This window comes from Homo sapiens, chromosome 2 (assembly GCF_000001405.40).
Source record: "Homo sapiens chromosome 2, GRCh38.p14 Primary Assembly".
NCBI classification, from domain to species: Eukaryota; Metazoa; Chordata; class Mammalia; order Primates; family Hominidae; genus Homo; species Homo sapiens.
In genome coordinates, this window is record NC_000002.12 from 68236148 (window position 1) to 68252949 (window position 16802).

General features: G+C 40.8%; 1 protein-coding gene and 1 long non-coding RNA gene across 3 annotated transcripts in view, besides 3 other annotated features; one reads left to right on the forward strand and one right to left on the reverse strand.

The window, feature by feature from the left end:
- PPP3R1 (protein phosphatase 3 regulatory subunit B, alpha) overlaps nt 1–16385 on the reverse strand; it is a 73676-nt gene extending 57291 nt beyond the window's left edge. Inside the window, exon 1 of the mRNA NM_000945.4 lies at nt 15978–16385. Coding sequence (NP_000936.1) covers nt 15978–15980 — 3 coding nt within the window. The 5' untranslated portion in view covers nt 15981–16385. The remainder of the gene's footprint in view (nt 1–15977) is intronic.
- The window catches only part of PPP3R1-AS1 (PPP3R1 and CNRIP1 antisense RNA 1), a 48404-nt gene continuing 47057 nt past the window's right edge, over nt 15456–16802 (forward strand). For both annotated transcript variants that reach the window (XR_001739526.2, XR_001739527.2), the window contains exon 1: nt 15456–15587. This is a non-coding gene — a long non-coding RNA (PPP3R1 and CNRIP1 antisense RNA 1). The remainder of the gene's footprint in view (nt 15588–16802) is intronic.
- Nucleotides 15705–15814: a silencer, noted in NCBI's record as "silent region_11586". NCBI's record gives its function as "represses an Ori minimal core promoter by ATAC-STARR-seq in GM12878 lymphoblastoid cells {active_cell/tissue: GM12878}" and the evidence as "EXISTENCE:reporter gene assay evidence [ECO:0000049][PMID:35858748]".
- Nucleotides 15995–16044: a silencer, noted in NCBI's record as "silent region_11587". NCBI's record gives its function as "represses an Ori minimal core promoter by ATAC-STARR-seq in GM12878 lymphoblastoid cells {active_cell/tissue: GM12878}" and the evidence as "EXISTENCE:reporter gene assay evidence [ECO:0000049][PMID:35858748]".
- Nucleotides 16305–16744: a silencer, noted in NCBI's record as "silent region_11588". NCBI's record gives its function as "represses an Ori minimal core promoter by ATAC-STARR-seq in GM12878 lymphoblastoid cells {active_cell/tissue: GM12878}" and the evidence as "EXISTENCE:reporter gene assay evidence [ECO:0000049][PMID:35858748]".

Here is a 16802-nt window from a genome sequence, read left to right on the forward strand (position 1 = left end):
TTTGAAGCTTAGATTTGTTAATTTTGATGATATACAATTTACCTTTTTTTTCTTTCATTGCTTGTGGTTTTGGTATCATATATATTAAGAAACTATGTGAACATGCGTTTGTAAAGTTTTATTGGCATACTGCCACACTCATTCATTTATGTACTGTCTATAGCTGCTTCACACTACAATGGCAGAGTTGAAATGGTGCAACAGACTGTATGGCTCCCAAGCCTCAAATATTTATTATCTGGTCCTTTGCAGAAAGAGTTTTCCAACTCATGATCTAAAACAATGCCAACAACTCCTAATTACCCCTAACCTAAAATGAACAGCTATGCTCCGCTTGAAAGAGCTTCGGGGAGACGATAACCTTCAGAGAGGAAGTAGAATTTTGGTTACAGTAACTAGACAAAATTTTTGGTGAGGAGAATGACAACATGAGGGGATAGCTATGTACTGGTGAGGGAAGAGGTCAGTATAACATCAGAAGCCAGATACAGCTTTTACTATTTAAGATCCCATCAGTAATCTGGGACCATTATTCAGAGTACCTAATAAAATACTGATGAGGTTGTTTTTACTATCATATGGCCTAGACTCTGGTGATGGAAAGTAACCTAGGGCCAGGTTATAAAAACTTAAATGCCAGAGTAAGGAATGTGGCCTTTTTCTAGTATGCAAGAGCCATTGAGATACAATGAGACCTAAGGAAAAACCTCCTATGAGACTTTTAAGGAAGTTTTGCTCCCTAATAAGTACTTAAAGAAGCATTCCCTGCTCTTCTTTGGCCAGATGTTGGTATCTAAAATTGGGGCAGCCCTCTGCTGACATGCAGAGGAGCTTTAAAGTAAGCAAGTCTTATGTTCTTGATGAAACTGAACTGCTGAACCAACCCTGTAACTCTCTGGCTCTGAGCTTCTCATTCTGTGAAATAACAAACTGCTTATTATTTAAGTCACTTTTAGTTAGGTATTGTTACTTGTAGCCAAAAATATCCTGAAACATTCTTGACTCTGTTAATCACTACATTTCTGAATAGTGGGCTGCAAAGAAATTAGGATTATGAAACCTAGACCTGCCAAGAATACTACATACTGGTTTCCAGTAGTTCAATTGATTCCTTAAAAAATGTAAAAAGCATTTTACAATTTATCAAACATCTTAAATAATTACCTACGCCAATACTCAGAAGAACTGTGAATCAGGCAATCTTGTGGTGGTTATTTTACAAATATAACTTTTTTTTAATTTAGAGTACTCCAAAACAGGCCTTCCAATTCCATAGCCCAATCTTGCTCTACCATATCATGTTACTTCTCATAATATCAAATTAAATTTACTGATAAGCAATGTAATCAACAAAAAAATTATAGTATTCTTTCAGCACTTGAACAATTACTTGACATTATACAACTCTATGAGTAATGTGACGAGAATGAATAATAAAATACCAAAACAGCTGCTACATGTTAAGTTCAAACTGGACAAGCAGAGTAGCCAGAAGAAATCTAGCACTTCATAGTAGCGCTACTGAAGCACTTACTATAATATTTCCCTCCACAGTTTCTGGGGCTGTATCTTTTTTTCATTCATCTTTATACCTGAAACTATGTTTGATATATCTAGTAAGTGAACATTAAATGTTTGCTAAGTGAAGGATATCAAAGATGTAGACTTGCACTAACACTTTATTAGCTGTTCTAGAATCTCCAGAACAGCAACAAAAAAAGGTTACAATAAATCAGCTTAGGTAAACAAAGGTAAACACTGTTCATAAATTTTGAGTTTCCTTTATTTATGAAAATGTTTACTTATTGAAAGTAACAACCTGACATATAAGTCTCTACTCAGATATGTAACAAGAATTTTGAAGCATAAAAGATCTCTTTTACAATCAATAGCAGTTTCCTTTCTGGTAGCTCTCCTATTTGTGCCTAACACACTGGGGGTTTTCTAAACACTTATCCACAGGACTTGCAAAGGTCTCCCTAGTCCTAGATGACTAATATAACTTAGCTCCATTGCACCTCTGCATTAAGTGACAGATACCACAACAGGGATTAGATTTACAAAGATGAAAAAAAAAATGCATCCACTGCCCTCGAGGAGCCAACAGTTTAGGAGGGCAGGCAATTAAACATAATGAAATATGGAATGTACTACAGTGAAAGTTACTTACAAATGGCCATTAACTGCCTGGGAGAGTTGGGAACATTTTCACACAATGCCACTGTGGATCTTGACGTTTGCCAGACAGAGAAAGGGGAGAGACATTGCCAACAGAAGAAAGAGTACAAAGGCATCAATAAGTGAAAAAGGATAAGGAATCTGAGAAAGCAGCAGTTTGAACCAGTTACAGCATAAGGATGGCTAGAAATAAGGGTCAGAGCCCGACTGTCATGCAAAACAGTTTAGATTTTTAATTCTCAAAGACGTAGCCTTGACTTTCAAATGAAAGCATTGACATAAGATTTCCTCATCCAAAGAAAAACTCTCATGGCAATAGGTAAGGCAGAATGAAGGAAGAAACCACAGGCAAAAAGAAAAAAGTATTATGTGGGCTATCAAAATAGCCCACCTGAGAAATAAATGGTAGCACAATGATGTCAATGGCAATGGGGATGAAGAAGTAGCAGATTCAAGTGGCATTTGGGGGATCTAAATGAAAAGACACGTTTGCTATATAACATGATATTTATGTCCCTGAAAAAAACCTCGTGTTCTTAAAACCACCCATTAAAAATAACATGGCTTAAGGAAAATTCAGTCCGGAACAGACACTTAAAACCTATGCAACTCTGTAACCACAGTACTACAAAAACAATACAAATCCTAGTAAAAATATTAACAAAGCTGTGCTGAATAATAAACATAATAAAATACTTTTAAAGGTACAGACGAAAGTAACAGAAAAAGATGTAAGGATTATTTGAAGCAAAGTTATTAAAACAAGGAAAAATGCATAAAGATCTAGAAGAGTTGTGCAATAAATTGTTCCAACACAGATAAATAGCCAATATGAGTCAAGAGGAAGGATGTGAACTAAACGGACAGTATACAGTACCGTATTCTGTAGCTTGCTGCTTTCAGCTGTGTTCCTATATTTTGAATTCATCTACCACCACTTGGTGACACAAAACATAAATATGCTGGGAATATTATGTTTCCCTGTTTACTGACAGAATATAAGTCAATTTGTGTTACAGAAATAAACAATATATGAAGTGCCACTGAAAACTGCCTTAAGACTTAGAAGTGAAGAGAGTAAAAAAGTATGACTGTACAAGGTTTCCAGGTAAAAGTGCATGGATAGACACTGTTTCCATTAAGAAAAAAACAGAGAATAATGAAGCATCAACATGAAGATAAATGAATGTGGTTTTGGTTACATTTAGTTGAGTTTGAGGTGTCTTAGAAACAACCTTATTTAAATAGTATCCAGTAAGCAGAACTATGGACTGGAGAAGAGAACGATGTGGCCTGAAAAATACGAATGAATCATCAGTACACAAGAAATAGATGAAACTTTGGGGTGGGGGGAAAAAACAAGGAATTTGTGCATTCACTCAAGAAATATTTAATGAATTTCTATAATGTGTAGGGTCCTATGCTGGCAGCGGCAGTATATAAAAGTTGTTAAATTAGCCTAAATTTGGCCTCAGGATGCCTCTGCATTTGAGTCCTTACATAATCACTGCCTAGCTCAGTAAACCAAATGAAAACCTAAGAGTACACAGATGGTCGCTAACTTAAAGCGGTTGATTTTCAACTTTATGATGGTACCCATAAAACCATTGTTTTTCACTTTCAGTACAGTTTTCAATAAATTATGTAAGTATTACAAAACAGGCTTTGTGTTATCTATTTTACCAACTGTAGGCTAATGTAAGTGTTCTAAGCACATTTAAGGTAGGCTAGACTAAGATGTACATTAGGTGTATTCAACGCATTTTCAACTTACAATGGGTTTATCGGGATGTAACCCCAACGTAAGTCAAGGAGCATTTGTAATTTTATAACACAACTGAGTCTCAGCCAATTACAGCAGCTGAGCTTCAGTCAATCGCAGGCAACCAATGACTCAAATAAGACAAACGACCTGTAACCAATTAAGCTCTGTACCTCACTTCTGTCTTATACTTCACTTCTATTTTCTACCTATAAATACTACTAGACCACGTTGCTTGTTGGAGTTCTTAGATCTGTTCTGATTCTGAGAGCTATCCCATACGCAGAGTTTTCTTTCTCAAACTCTGCTAAATTGAACTTGTATGAAGATTTTTTCCTTTTAACAGATGAAAAACAAAACAGACAAGATGCCCATTCTCACAGAGTTCACATTAAATCATGGGGAGACAGAAAGCGACCAAACATCTCAAAACTAATCAATTATGTGCTACAAAGGAAACATTAAAGGTACTAAAAGAGTGTAACATAGAACATGACCTGACCTGCTCTGGGAGTGTATGGCTCCCCCTTAGTTAACTGAGGGACTTTTGAGGCATTCCAGTAGCATATGCAAAGGTTCAGATGGTGGAATAAACATAGCAAACGATACTGGGTGAATGACACAAGGCCAAGTGGCTAGAGCACAGAAAACAAGTAGGAACATGGTGGAAGGGACAGAAGTAAGCAGATGAAGAATTCATGGAGTCTTTTAGGCTATGTTGAAGATTTCAGTCTTTATAATGCCGGAATTTTAAACGGGAAAGTAATACAATCATATTTGAGAGAGTCTTGGACCAAACCTACATCAAAGGCTGGAAACAGACTAAAAATGGTCAGAGAGGTAGAAATAGCAACTAGCAATAGTAGAAAAGGTCGCAGAAGCCAAAAGAGGAGAATTTCAAGAGTTCCCGACAAGGTCCAACATTACAAAGAAGAAAAATGTTAAACCAAATGCATTTAATGAATACCTATGGGATCTCTAGACGCTCTACAGTGGTCCCTCAGTATCCACTGGGAACTGGTCCCATTTCCCCACCCCCACCTCTTAGAAACCAAACTCCACAGATGCTCAAGTCCCTGATATAAAATGGCATAGTATTTGAATGTAACCTATGCACACATCCTCCTGTATACTTTAAATCACCTCTGGATTACTTGCAATATCTAATACAATGTAAATAGTATTTATACTAAATTTTTATTTGTATTATTTTTCATTGTTATTTTTTATTTTTTTTCCCCAAGTATTTTCAATCCATGGACCCAGAACTCATGGGCATGGAAGGCCAACTGTATATGTCACAATTTAAGGTGTTGTTATTCCCACTTTATATACATATGTACTGCACTAAATAAGGTCTAGAGAGCTTATGATATTTGTTCAAGGTCACATTGCTAATAAATGGCAGAGCCAGAATCTAAATTCAGATCTTCCCAACTCCAAATCTCATGCTGGTAATTAGAAGATTACTGACAATGTGGCCGGGCACAGTGGCTCAGGCCTATAATCCCAGCACTTTGGGAGGCCAAGGTGGGCGGATCACCAGGTCAGGAGCTGGCCAACTTGACCAACATGGTGAAATACCGTCTCTACTAAAAATACAAAAATTAGCCAGGCACGGAGGCACATGCCTGTAATCCCAGCTACTCAGAAGGCTGAAGCAGGAGAATCACTTGAACATGGAAGGTGGAGGTTGCAGTGAACCGAGATTGCACCACTGTACTCCAGCCTGGCCCACAGAGTAAGACTCCATCTCAAAAAAAAAAAAAAAAAAAGATTACTACCAATGTAAGTTTCATTGACATGCAGGTGCAAAATCATTGTAGACAAGCAGTATCTAATGGAAACTTCTGCCACAATGGATACATTCTTTATCTACACTAACACAGTAGCCACTACCTACATGTAGTTATTGTGTACTCGTAGATATTGTGAATGAAGAACTGAATTTACACTTTTACTTAACTTTAATTAACTTTAAAATTTAAACAACCACATACAGCTAGTGTCTACTGAATTAAACATCACTGAACTGTGGTGGACTGAAAAACAAGAAATGCACCAGGCGCGGTGGCTCACGCGTGTAATACCAGCAATTTGGGAGGCTGAAGCAAGCGGATCATGAGGTCAGGAGTTTGAGACTAGCCTGATCAACATGGTGAAACCCTGTCTCTACTAAAAATACAAAAATTAGCTGGGTGTGGTGGTGCGCACCCGCAATCACAGCTACTCGAAAGCTGAGGCAGGGGAATTGCTTGAACCCAGGAGGCTGAAGTAGCGGTGAGCCAAGATTGCGCCACTGCACTCTAGCCTGGACAACAGAGCAAGACTCCGTCTAAAAAAAAAAAAAAGAAAAGAAAAACAAGAAATGTACGAACAGACGTTAACAGTCCAGAAGCAAGGTAAAAGCAGCGTGACTGCCAGACAGCAAGATACAGCTGAAGTATTCCTCTGATTATAAGTTCACTCTTTACTTGAGAAAGAGTATAAGTTAGTTTATAATTCATGAAATTCTATTTGTTAGGGAACACAGGTGCACCATGAACAAATATGTAAGTACAGATTTATCTTATTGCCCATTATCACGTGTTTTTCCTGAGATTCCAATTTTTATTAAAGATTGCCTTACAAGAAATACTAGACAATGCCAGCATACTGCATGCCTAAAATAGGGGCTTGCTTATGGCATTACACTCAGGAGGATATGAAAGAAAATCATCCCTGAATCTAGACAGATTAAAAATAAAATACTAATGGATAGCGCTAGTAAGGGCCAAGGGTAACATCCTTTCTGTAGGCTGCTATGCTTCATTCTATTGTAACTAGGTTTTAAAATGCATACCTAATTCTAACATAAAAATAAAAATGAATACTCTGTGTTCTTTAGAAAAAGAGCTGGTCAACGCACCAGTGATTTTACCAACACCAGAAAAACAAGTCAATGTAACATCTCATCTACAGGAATGTTTTTTTGGGATACCAACAGGGCTACCAATTTGGCCCTCTTTTTACTACTTACAAGAAATATTTAAAAAACAAAACAAAACTCTATGAGGAAGAACAGTATAGGAATCTATGAATTGTTTAAATTATTAGTGCTAAATTTCAAAAGATTTCCTACAGAAATCTTCAAACATTTTAAATATTTCATAGTACAAGACTATAAAATCCAAAGACAAACCCAGGAATACATTTATCAAAATGTTATTCCTGCGCCAGACCTATAAATTAGTCAGAATTATACTGTCAATTCACAAACACTGAGGAGATGTTGACCATAAGTTTCCTTTATTATGGAGTCTATGGAGAAAATTCAGAAAGGGAAGAAAAGATGAGGGCTACTGGAGAAAAGGCTTACTTGGAAGGGTAAAAATGAGGAATAAATTTTAAACAATCAAGCTTGAGTTAAAAAAGACGCTTTATCCATTATACTTCAGAAGCTATTTTCTCTTTTAATAATTTGTTATCCATGTTATGTTTAATAAGATATTAGGTAGAAATAAGTACAAAAAAAAGTTCTAGTAAAATGTTATTTTCCCCAGAGTAATTTCTTAAGAACATGGTCATAGTTCAGACCCTCGTTAAAGTAACAACCTCTATCACTATAAAATTGTTACCTAATTAGATTTATCAATTATTTCTGACTCATTGTTTACATTTAAAATACCATTAAAACTTTGGACTAAAACTGATTGTAATGAGTAAACTATGAGTTTACTTATAGTTTGTAATAAGTAGCGTATCATTAAAACTTTTACGATCAATCTTTTTAATAAGAACTAAATTATAATAAAATCCATATGTTGCCACAGGCGGGAAAAAAAAGGAAGGAAAAAAACCCCACACAAAAAACTCTTCGAAGAATATATAAACAAGAAACTTAATACTGGGGGAGGGGTGGCCAGGGAAGACTTACTTTCCATTTTAGATCTTTCAATATCATTTGAATTTTTAAGTGACTACATTAATGTAGTGTCTTTAGAACTTTAGGGAAAAAAAATTAACATACGGATCTAAAACATGTTTCCCCTTCCTTAAAAGCTGAACTCAAAAAATGATTCCTTTTAGACCTATGTAAATTGATCAGAAGAACAAATCTGAGTTAATAAAGCAAAGACTGCCAAAGTATTAAGCTCTTTTCTGGTTAAAACCCCTGTTTTCTAGATTTATTTCCTAGGTCACTGACCAACTGCTGCCTTCTCCTAGGTCCTAGCTACCATTTAGTTATATTTATTTATTACCTTGTTAACTGCCTAACAATTCCCCAAACTGGATAACACAATCCTCTTCCACAGCCCTCACCCCTCAAAACCACCCCAGTTCCCTCAGGCTCAATGTCAACCTCAGCAAATTAACTTGCCTCAAATTATCCTGAGATACTAAGATGATTTAGGCCACCTGCTATGAACTCCATTATTAAAACATATCTGTTGCCATGGCCTATTTCTCTTCACTCTGATTTTTTCTCTCTCTTTTAATGTCTATCCTTTCCTTTTATCCTCTTCTTTTTAACTTTTCTAGAGCTCATTCCATTAATCACGCTCTTACAGCTCCCTCTCCTGGCTTTTCTAATTCTCAAGAATATCCCCATCTTTCTCTTACCAAAAAAGAACTTACTCCAACTGTAAACCACTGAAGTTAATTATCCTTTGTCTTTCTTTCATAAATGTCTCAAAAAAAAAAGAAACTGACACTCACTGCCTTCAATGTCCGATAAGCACCTTTTCCTTTATTCCACTTCACATACTCCTTCAAATAGTACTTAACATCTACCATATACCAAGTATCTGGAATATAAGAACGAAAAGACAAAGACAAGGCTTCTGCATTCACAGAGTTTACTTTCCCCTGCAATCTTATGTTTGTCACCTAGGACATGACTGAAGTTAGTCTTAAAAATTATCAATATTCTTCTAATGACCATTCCATCAGTATTTTCTTAATCTTCATCTTTACAACTATCCAATCAGCTATTACCCTGACTCAAATATTCTACTTCTAGGCCAGGCCTGGTGGTTCACGACTGTAATCCCAGCACTCTGGGAGGCTAAGGTGGGCAGACTGCTTGAGCTCAGGAGTTTGAGACCAGCCTGCGCAACATGGCAAGACCCTGTCTCCACAAAAATTAGCTGGGTGTAGTGGTGTGCACCTGTAGTCTCAGCTACTTGGGAGGCTGAGGAGGGAGGATGGCTTGAGCCTGGGAGGTGGAGGCTGCAATAAGCTGAGATCGCACCACCGCACTCCAACCTGGGCAAAATAGCAAGATCCTGTCTCCAAAAAGAAAAAAAAATTATTCAGTTTATTTTCCAAGTACATTATCACATTTGTTAAATAATTACAGTATAATGTCTCAAGCCTATCAAATTAACTATCTAAAACCAAGCTCACCTTCTTCTAACACTACTTTTCACCAGCAACTCACTCTTACTTTCCTGGTTTTATTTGTAATGTGCTATCTTTATATCTAATCACTAGGTTGGGTCATCCTTCATGACTGTTTCCTCATCATCAGTTTCTAACTCTTTTCAACTCTATATTTAAAATGCCTCCATTTTTATTTGCTTTCAAATCCTTATAACTTCATACTTGTAATACTATAAAGCAGTATTCCTTTGTGGAACTCACCTCATCTAGTTTCCACCCTTTCCAAGTCACCCAGCATCTTATTTCCAGATTAATCAATGGTTCCCCAATGGGACCAAACTGAACTCAAAACAGTTAAACCATTTACAACTTAACACATGACTTCCTTTCCAGCCTAAACTCTTATATGACCTACATAATAGTTTTCATCTTTTTCTCCTTCTCTTTCATGTTAAAAGGATGAGAAAAATTCCCCTTCTTGTCTAAGGAGAGTCATAAACTCCCTTCTACCTCCTTGGAGACATTAAGTTGTCAATAATCCTGTCTTTTCTCTTTGAAAAGATTCAAAAGATAATCTCTCCCTTTTTACCCTTTTTACTGACTTTTTCTTTCTTTCTTTTTTTTTTTTTTTTTTTTTTTTTGAGACAGAGTCTTGCTCTGTCGTCCAAGCTGGAGTGCACTGGTACAATCTCAGCTCCCTGCAACCTCCGCCTCCCGGGTTCAAGTGATTCTCCTGCCTCAGCCTCCTAAGTAGCTGGCATTACAGGCACGCGTCACCAAACCCGGCTAATTTTTGTATTTTTAGTAGAGACAGGGTTTCACCATATTGGTCGGGCTGGTCTCTAACTCCCGACCTCATGATCCGCCCGCCTCAGCCTCCCAAAGTGCTGGGATTACAGGAGTGAGCCACCGTGCCCGGCTCTGACTTTTTCTTTCAACCCCAAGATAAATCCTTCCTCAAAACTAAATTCTCTAGCTTTCACCCTCTCTGCTACTCAAAGCTTTAAAAAGCAATCTAAATTCAATGTCTCACTACCTCCTGGCTTCCCTTGCCACCATTACAACAAACTACTATTGACCAAGTCATCAAAACTCTCCTGTTATCTCCAAAAGACATCTTTAAGTTCTCTTTCTTGATCTCTGCAGTATCTATTCACTGCTGACTCCTTCCTCTTTAAGACTCCCTTCAATCTGGCATCATGCTATGCTGCTCATTTCCCAACTATCTCTCTGGCTATTCAATGACAAACTTCACAGGCTCCTCATCCTCTACCTGCCTTTTTACATGCACCATCTTTAGAGTTCACTCTCTTCACGTCTCATTTTATATTCTCTCTACACAGGATTTCATCCAGTTTCACGGCTTCAACTACTACCTAATATAAATGCACAGACAATGCTCAAATCTTTAATGCAAGCCCCAGATGTCTCTTATGAGCTCCAGATATAGGTAGCCAATTACCTGTTGGCCATAATCACCTAGATAACCCAAGATTACTATTCCCTGCCCACCTCCCGCCCCCCAAAACAGTCTTGCTCTGTCACCCAGGCTGGAGTGCAGTCACACAATCTTGGCTCACCACAACCTCCACCTCCCAAGCTCAAGCCATCCTCCCACCTCTGCCTCCTGAGTAGCTGGCACTACAGGCGTGTGCCACTGTGCCCGCCTAATTTTTGTATTTTTGTACAGATGGGCTTTCACCATGTTGCCCAGGCTGGTCTGGAACTCTTGAGCCCAAGATCCATCTGCCTCGGCCTCCCAAAGTGCTTGGATTGTAGGGATGAGCCACTGTGCCTAGCCCACCCATGATTCCTTTAAATTCAGCATGTGCAAAAATAAAAATTCTCATCACTCCCCCAAAACCTTCTTCTCCTACATCTCCTAGGAGAATGTGCATTTCTAACAAGGTCCCAAATGATACTGATGCTGCTAGTCCAGGATCCACTTCTTGAGAATCACTGTTCAAACACATGTGCCTCTTTCTACCTCCAGGCTATCAAGTTCTTTCTGTTTCTCCTAGGCCATGACATGTATGTAGCAGGCACTGTTAATATTTCACAGCACTCTATCCTATTGAAATTGGAGTCTTGCAACATAGCATCCCAAGCACTAATTACCAAATAATAGAAGCCTAGAGATGAAACAATAGTCATCCCAGCAAACTGGAAGTTTCTCGAGGACAGGAACAGTATTCCCCATGTATTCCTAAAACCTAACCTTAACCAAGTAGGTGCTCAACAAATATTTGCTGGGTGGATAGCATTATCCAAAGCCAGAAACCAAAGCAGAATTCACCACCTCTTTTCTTCCCCATAATCCAATAGTTACCAAGTTCTTTCTTCTACCGCCTAAATGTATCTCCTGTAGGATCCCTACTATCTATCTGCATTGTTACTGTATTCTTTCACATCCTTCTGTCTCATATAAATTACTATAATTATTTCTGAATCCTCATGTCTAGATTCATCTATCCTATTATCCACCCGGCCATCAGAATGGTCTCTTTAAAAAAGTAAATGAGACAATGTCATTCTCCTGCTTGAAAATAACTTCCCACTGCTTTTAGGAGAAAAAAGATTAACTCCTTCATGATATGCAAATCCCTCTATGATCTAGTGTCAATCCACCAGACACTACCCCCTTCCTCTCCAGCCACGCTAAACTAACACTGTAGTTCTCTGGATGGCTTGTATATCTCATGCTTCCATGACTTCGAACAGAAGCTCTCTATGTGGTGTGCCCTTCCTCACTGGCTAAATACTCATCCTTTCAAGACTCAGTTCAGACACCATTTCTTCCAGGAAACTTTAAGTGACATTCATCCCCAGTGTGGATTAAGCCTCTTCCCTGCCATGTGCTCTTACAGCATCCCATGTTTAGTCTGTTAATAGCACATAGCACACTGCATAATCACTGTCTTATTTACCCTACTTGATTAATTTCCTTGTAGATAACAATTATGTCTTAAGTACATATAGTTAGTGCTAGGTACATTAAGAGACGCTTGACTCAACTTTACACATTCCTTCCTATTCTCTAAACAGTGGTTCTCAAAGTTCAGCCTATATCACAATTACCTGGAAGACCTATAAAACTTAAGACTGCTTGGCTCATCTCCAGAATTTTGGATTCAGTTGTTCCAGGGTGGGGCCTGACAAGTTTCCAGATGATGCTGTTGCTGTTGGTTCGGGAACCATCAGTGCTCCAAATGTACATTGTCTCTTCCTCCCTTTAGGATTTAAAGTGCCTTCTTCTAGATGCCTCCAACTCTGCCTACTGCAACGCTGATCTTTTTAGACCCAGCTAGCTCAATTACCACCTCCTTCATAAAACTTTTCCTAATCCCAGGTGAAAATGATCTTGCTCCTTCTTAAATTTCTATCATGCTTTGTGTGTACTATTCATATGACACTCATCACATGCTAACTTACTTCACGGTTACTGCCATTTGTCTTACATTCTCTACTTAAATGAAGGTAGGAAACCTGCCTTAATCATTGCAATATCCTCCACAACAGAGAGCACAACAACCAGTAAACGGCAGACAAAATCTACAAGTATTTGTTGATAGGAATGAATCCCTGTTGCTTGCCCCAGACTCCAGGCCCACTGTCTGACTTAATATCCTCCTGGCCCAAGGTGACTTCCTTATACTGCCTTACTACCTATAACAGTTGCCTGATCCTTCCATACTTGTCTGTCCCTCTCATTGCTGACTGACCCTTAGTCAGCTTCTTTACTTTATACCTTGAACCATTTTAATTTTCTCATTCACTATGGGACAAAATGAGTGGATAAATTTTCTCAGGACAGATGTGAATTTTAATTCCGCTGGTCATAAGACAGGTTTTTTTTTTTCTAAAAAGTGGCCTTTGCCACAGAATCTGAACTAGAATATGTTGTGTAAAACTCTACATACAGTTATAGACGGCAATAAATTTGTTTTAAGTTCTAGATGCAGATCATGGAGATAAAAAAAAATTTAAAAGTTTAAAAGCACAAAGACATGAAAAGGCCTTTATAAAATTTAAAGTTCCCTTAAGAAACAAAACGTAAAACAATTACCTTTATATTATGTTCATTTAAGTATCCAGAACAAAATCCGTATTATCTATTTCAACAAAAACATATATAAAACACCTCGTTCAGGGGAAATTCCTAGGAGCTCACTATTTACAAGATTTTTTTTTTTAACATATAACCTTCATTCTCCCTGGACGCTTAACAATTTAAAACTCAAATAAGGGTGAAGGGAGGGAAAGACTTTAACTTTCAGGAAAAAAAAAAATAAACTACGTTTAAGGCACCAACTAAAATTAATACCTGTCAGAAAAGATCCTTGAGAGTACATTTAAATCTTATAAGCCTTTTTACTTTCCATACTTGAATTAACTAGTGATATTTCATACTGTAAATGCTGTTGACAGAATGTAAATAATAAGAGTTCTAAGAGAGATTTTCCAAAGGGTGTGAAAGTTTTCAGAATTGTATGTTCAATTAACCAGAAAAATTAACCAGATCACTCCAAAGCCTGATTTATTTGGGTTAATCGACATCCCATATGGCAAAGTTGAGTTATGGGTATGGTCTTGATACTTTCAAACCAGTACTGTATTCAGCAGACCAAAATAACCCTAAAGTTGGAAAGCCACTGCCAACATTATGTAGGTCCTGAAATGGTATTGGGAGGATGAAAGAGGAAAAAAAAAAACCCAACAGTTGAATTAGGAAATAAATACTGAAAAGGGAGCTGGGAAGAAAAGGAACATAATGACCTGGCAGGAAACAACATCGTCTGATACACCGTAAAATATTTTAAAAGACAAGAAAACAGAGTTAACAGGAAAATAAGAAATTGAAGAGCTAAAAGAGAACTTCCCAGTTTCAGTCTGTTGTTCAAAAAACAGAGGACGGGGTGCACCGCAAGAGAGTTACTATTTGGAAACCATACCACTTCGCTGTATAATATATAAACAACAAAAGGCTAGATCATTGTTCCTCAAATGTGCTGTTTATAAAGCTAAGTAAAAACATTCCCTGCAATGAACAAAGATCTTCAAGATCCTGACCTTCAAGTAAAGCATGTGCATAAGGAAATTCTATTAAAGCACTGAAATGCAATTCTTCACTTCAAAAGACTATGCCAACAAAAAGATTATATGATGAATGGCTATGATCTTCCTAAATTGTTTTGTGACTTTCAGGTGCCAAAGTTGCCTCTCTGAGCTGCCTCGCAAGTTGGCAAGGAAAAACTTTCTCTACACATCAAAATCGGCAATCATTTAAGTCTGCTCTTAATCTGGGTTTTAAGTGCACCAGTAAGCACTTACTCATTTGCCCTATATTTTAAATAAAAGCTGACTTACCTGAATATTCTAATTTCACGTTCTTCCCTTAAAATCGATTTCACCAAATCGATTTTAAGTTGTAAGCAACAGCATTCCTCCCTTCAGTAATCCACCACGTACACTGAAGCACTTAAATTCTACATACAGGGTGGGATACCATACAGTGGAAAAGATGCGAGAAATTACCCACCGTCAACCAGTTTAAGTCTTCTGACAACTGTTCAAAGACTTTTAGAGAAAGCCTAATAACTGAATCGCATGATGGAGTATCTGATATACGCGGAATAGCACTCTGAACTTTCTCTACTGTGTATACAACTCTTGATTACAAAGAGGAAACTAACGACTAGGGCTTCCCCGAGCGAGAGAACCGGTAAGGTAACAGGCTAAAAGGGCGTCGTTGATTTCTTGGCTGCAGCGACAGAGGCGGGAGACACACCCCTAGCGTCGGTCTGAAACACTACAGCAGCGAATTCTACCTAGGGATTAATGTGAGGGTAAGGAAAGACAAATTAAAATCGCCATGATTCAAAAACAACCACTCCAAGAGAGAGACACAAGAAGGTACCAAAGAAAATGAAAAAACCCTTGGTAGTAACGGAAGCATGAAAAATTAAGCGCCCCCATTTCTCCCAAACCAAGTTCGCGTATGTTTTCGTGAACAAACACCTTGGATCTTTCCGGTTCGCCAGGGCAGCGAGCAAAGCAGCAGCGAACGGAAACCCCGCAGGGCTGCGCACCGCAGCTAAACCGACGCTCGCAGGAGAGGGGAAGTGAGTGGCAGGGTTCCCTGCCAAGACTCACTGCTGGGAAACAGGCAGTGAGTGGAAGCAGCAGCAGCTCTGGAGAGTAAGTGGGTCTTATGTAAAGTGCCATTTGCCACATATTGTTATTTCCAAAGGATTTCAGAATACCCTCGAACTCGAAAAACAGAGTGAGTGTGGAGGGGAGGGGGGTGCTCCACGTGGAGGAGGGTCGCGAGAAGGAGAGTGCGCCGGGCTGATGGTCAGCGGTGCCCGCGGGGGTCGATGCCGGGCGGGACCGGCGGCGCGGGGGTGGGGCGACGGCGGGGCGGCGGCCGAGCAGCAGAGGGGCGCCCCGCAGAGGCCGGGGGCGGGCGCGGGGGCCCCGCCGCCGTCCTGTCAGCAGCCGCCCCGCCGCCCTCTCCGGCTCGCCCGCAACCGCCGCGGGACCCGCCGGGCCCGGGTCTCTGGAATTTTCCACGGGGGACAGCCGACCGGGGGCGTCGGGGCTCGCCCCCGCACCCGACCCGGACGGCGGCAGTAGGGGGAGGGATGGTGCATCGAGGAAGCCAAGGTCTCACCATTTTGCTCGGCGGGTCGGCGGCTCGCTGGCTCGCTGGCTCGGAGAAGTGTTGCGCTCAGGCTGGCTCGCAGGAAACGGCGGCGGCGGCCCAGCTGCGGCCCTCGGGTCGCCGGCGGGGAGGGGGCGCGCGTGGGGGAGGGGAGGCGGCGCCGCGGGGCCCGCGCCGGCCGGGCGATTGGGCACGCGAGGGAGCGGGCAGGGTAGGGGGAAATAAATTAAGGTCGAGATTCAGAGCCGGAGAGCGCGGGAGGAGCAGCGGCGAGAGGCAGGAGAGGCAGAGAAGAAGAAAGGAGGGGGAGAGGGGGCGAAGACGGCCGGGAAACTCGGGGGCTGCAGCCTCGCGCTCGCGCCGGAGCCGTGACGGACTCACTGCAGCGGCTCGCGCTGACCCGCAACCTCAAGGCACGAAAAAAGGGGAGGGCGGAGAGGGAGGGGAAAGCGGAGTGCTGCAGCGCGCGGGGCGGGGGCGGGGCTTCCGCGAGCGCCGCACATCCGGGAACCTGCGCGCCCCGCTGGGCGGCGAGTGCCGCGGCGCTCTGGCGAGCTCTGGTTGGGGAACGCTGAGCGCGCGGACCACGTTCGCCCCTCAGCCGGCCGCCCCTTGCGTGCAGGGTGGGGGGAGGCCAGGGGCGGGGGCGCGGACGTCGGTGACGTCGCGTGGCGGAGCCCTTCCGGTCATGTGGCTGGAGGCGGGCGGGGAAGAAGGCAAGGCTGGGAGGGGAAGGAGGAAATGCGAGGGTTCCCCGGCGGGAGGAAGCGCGAGGGGTGCGCGAGTGCTAGCGAAAGGGGGACAGGGGCCCTGGAGTGGAAGCCTTGCGGGAGA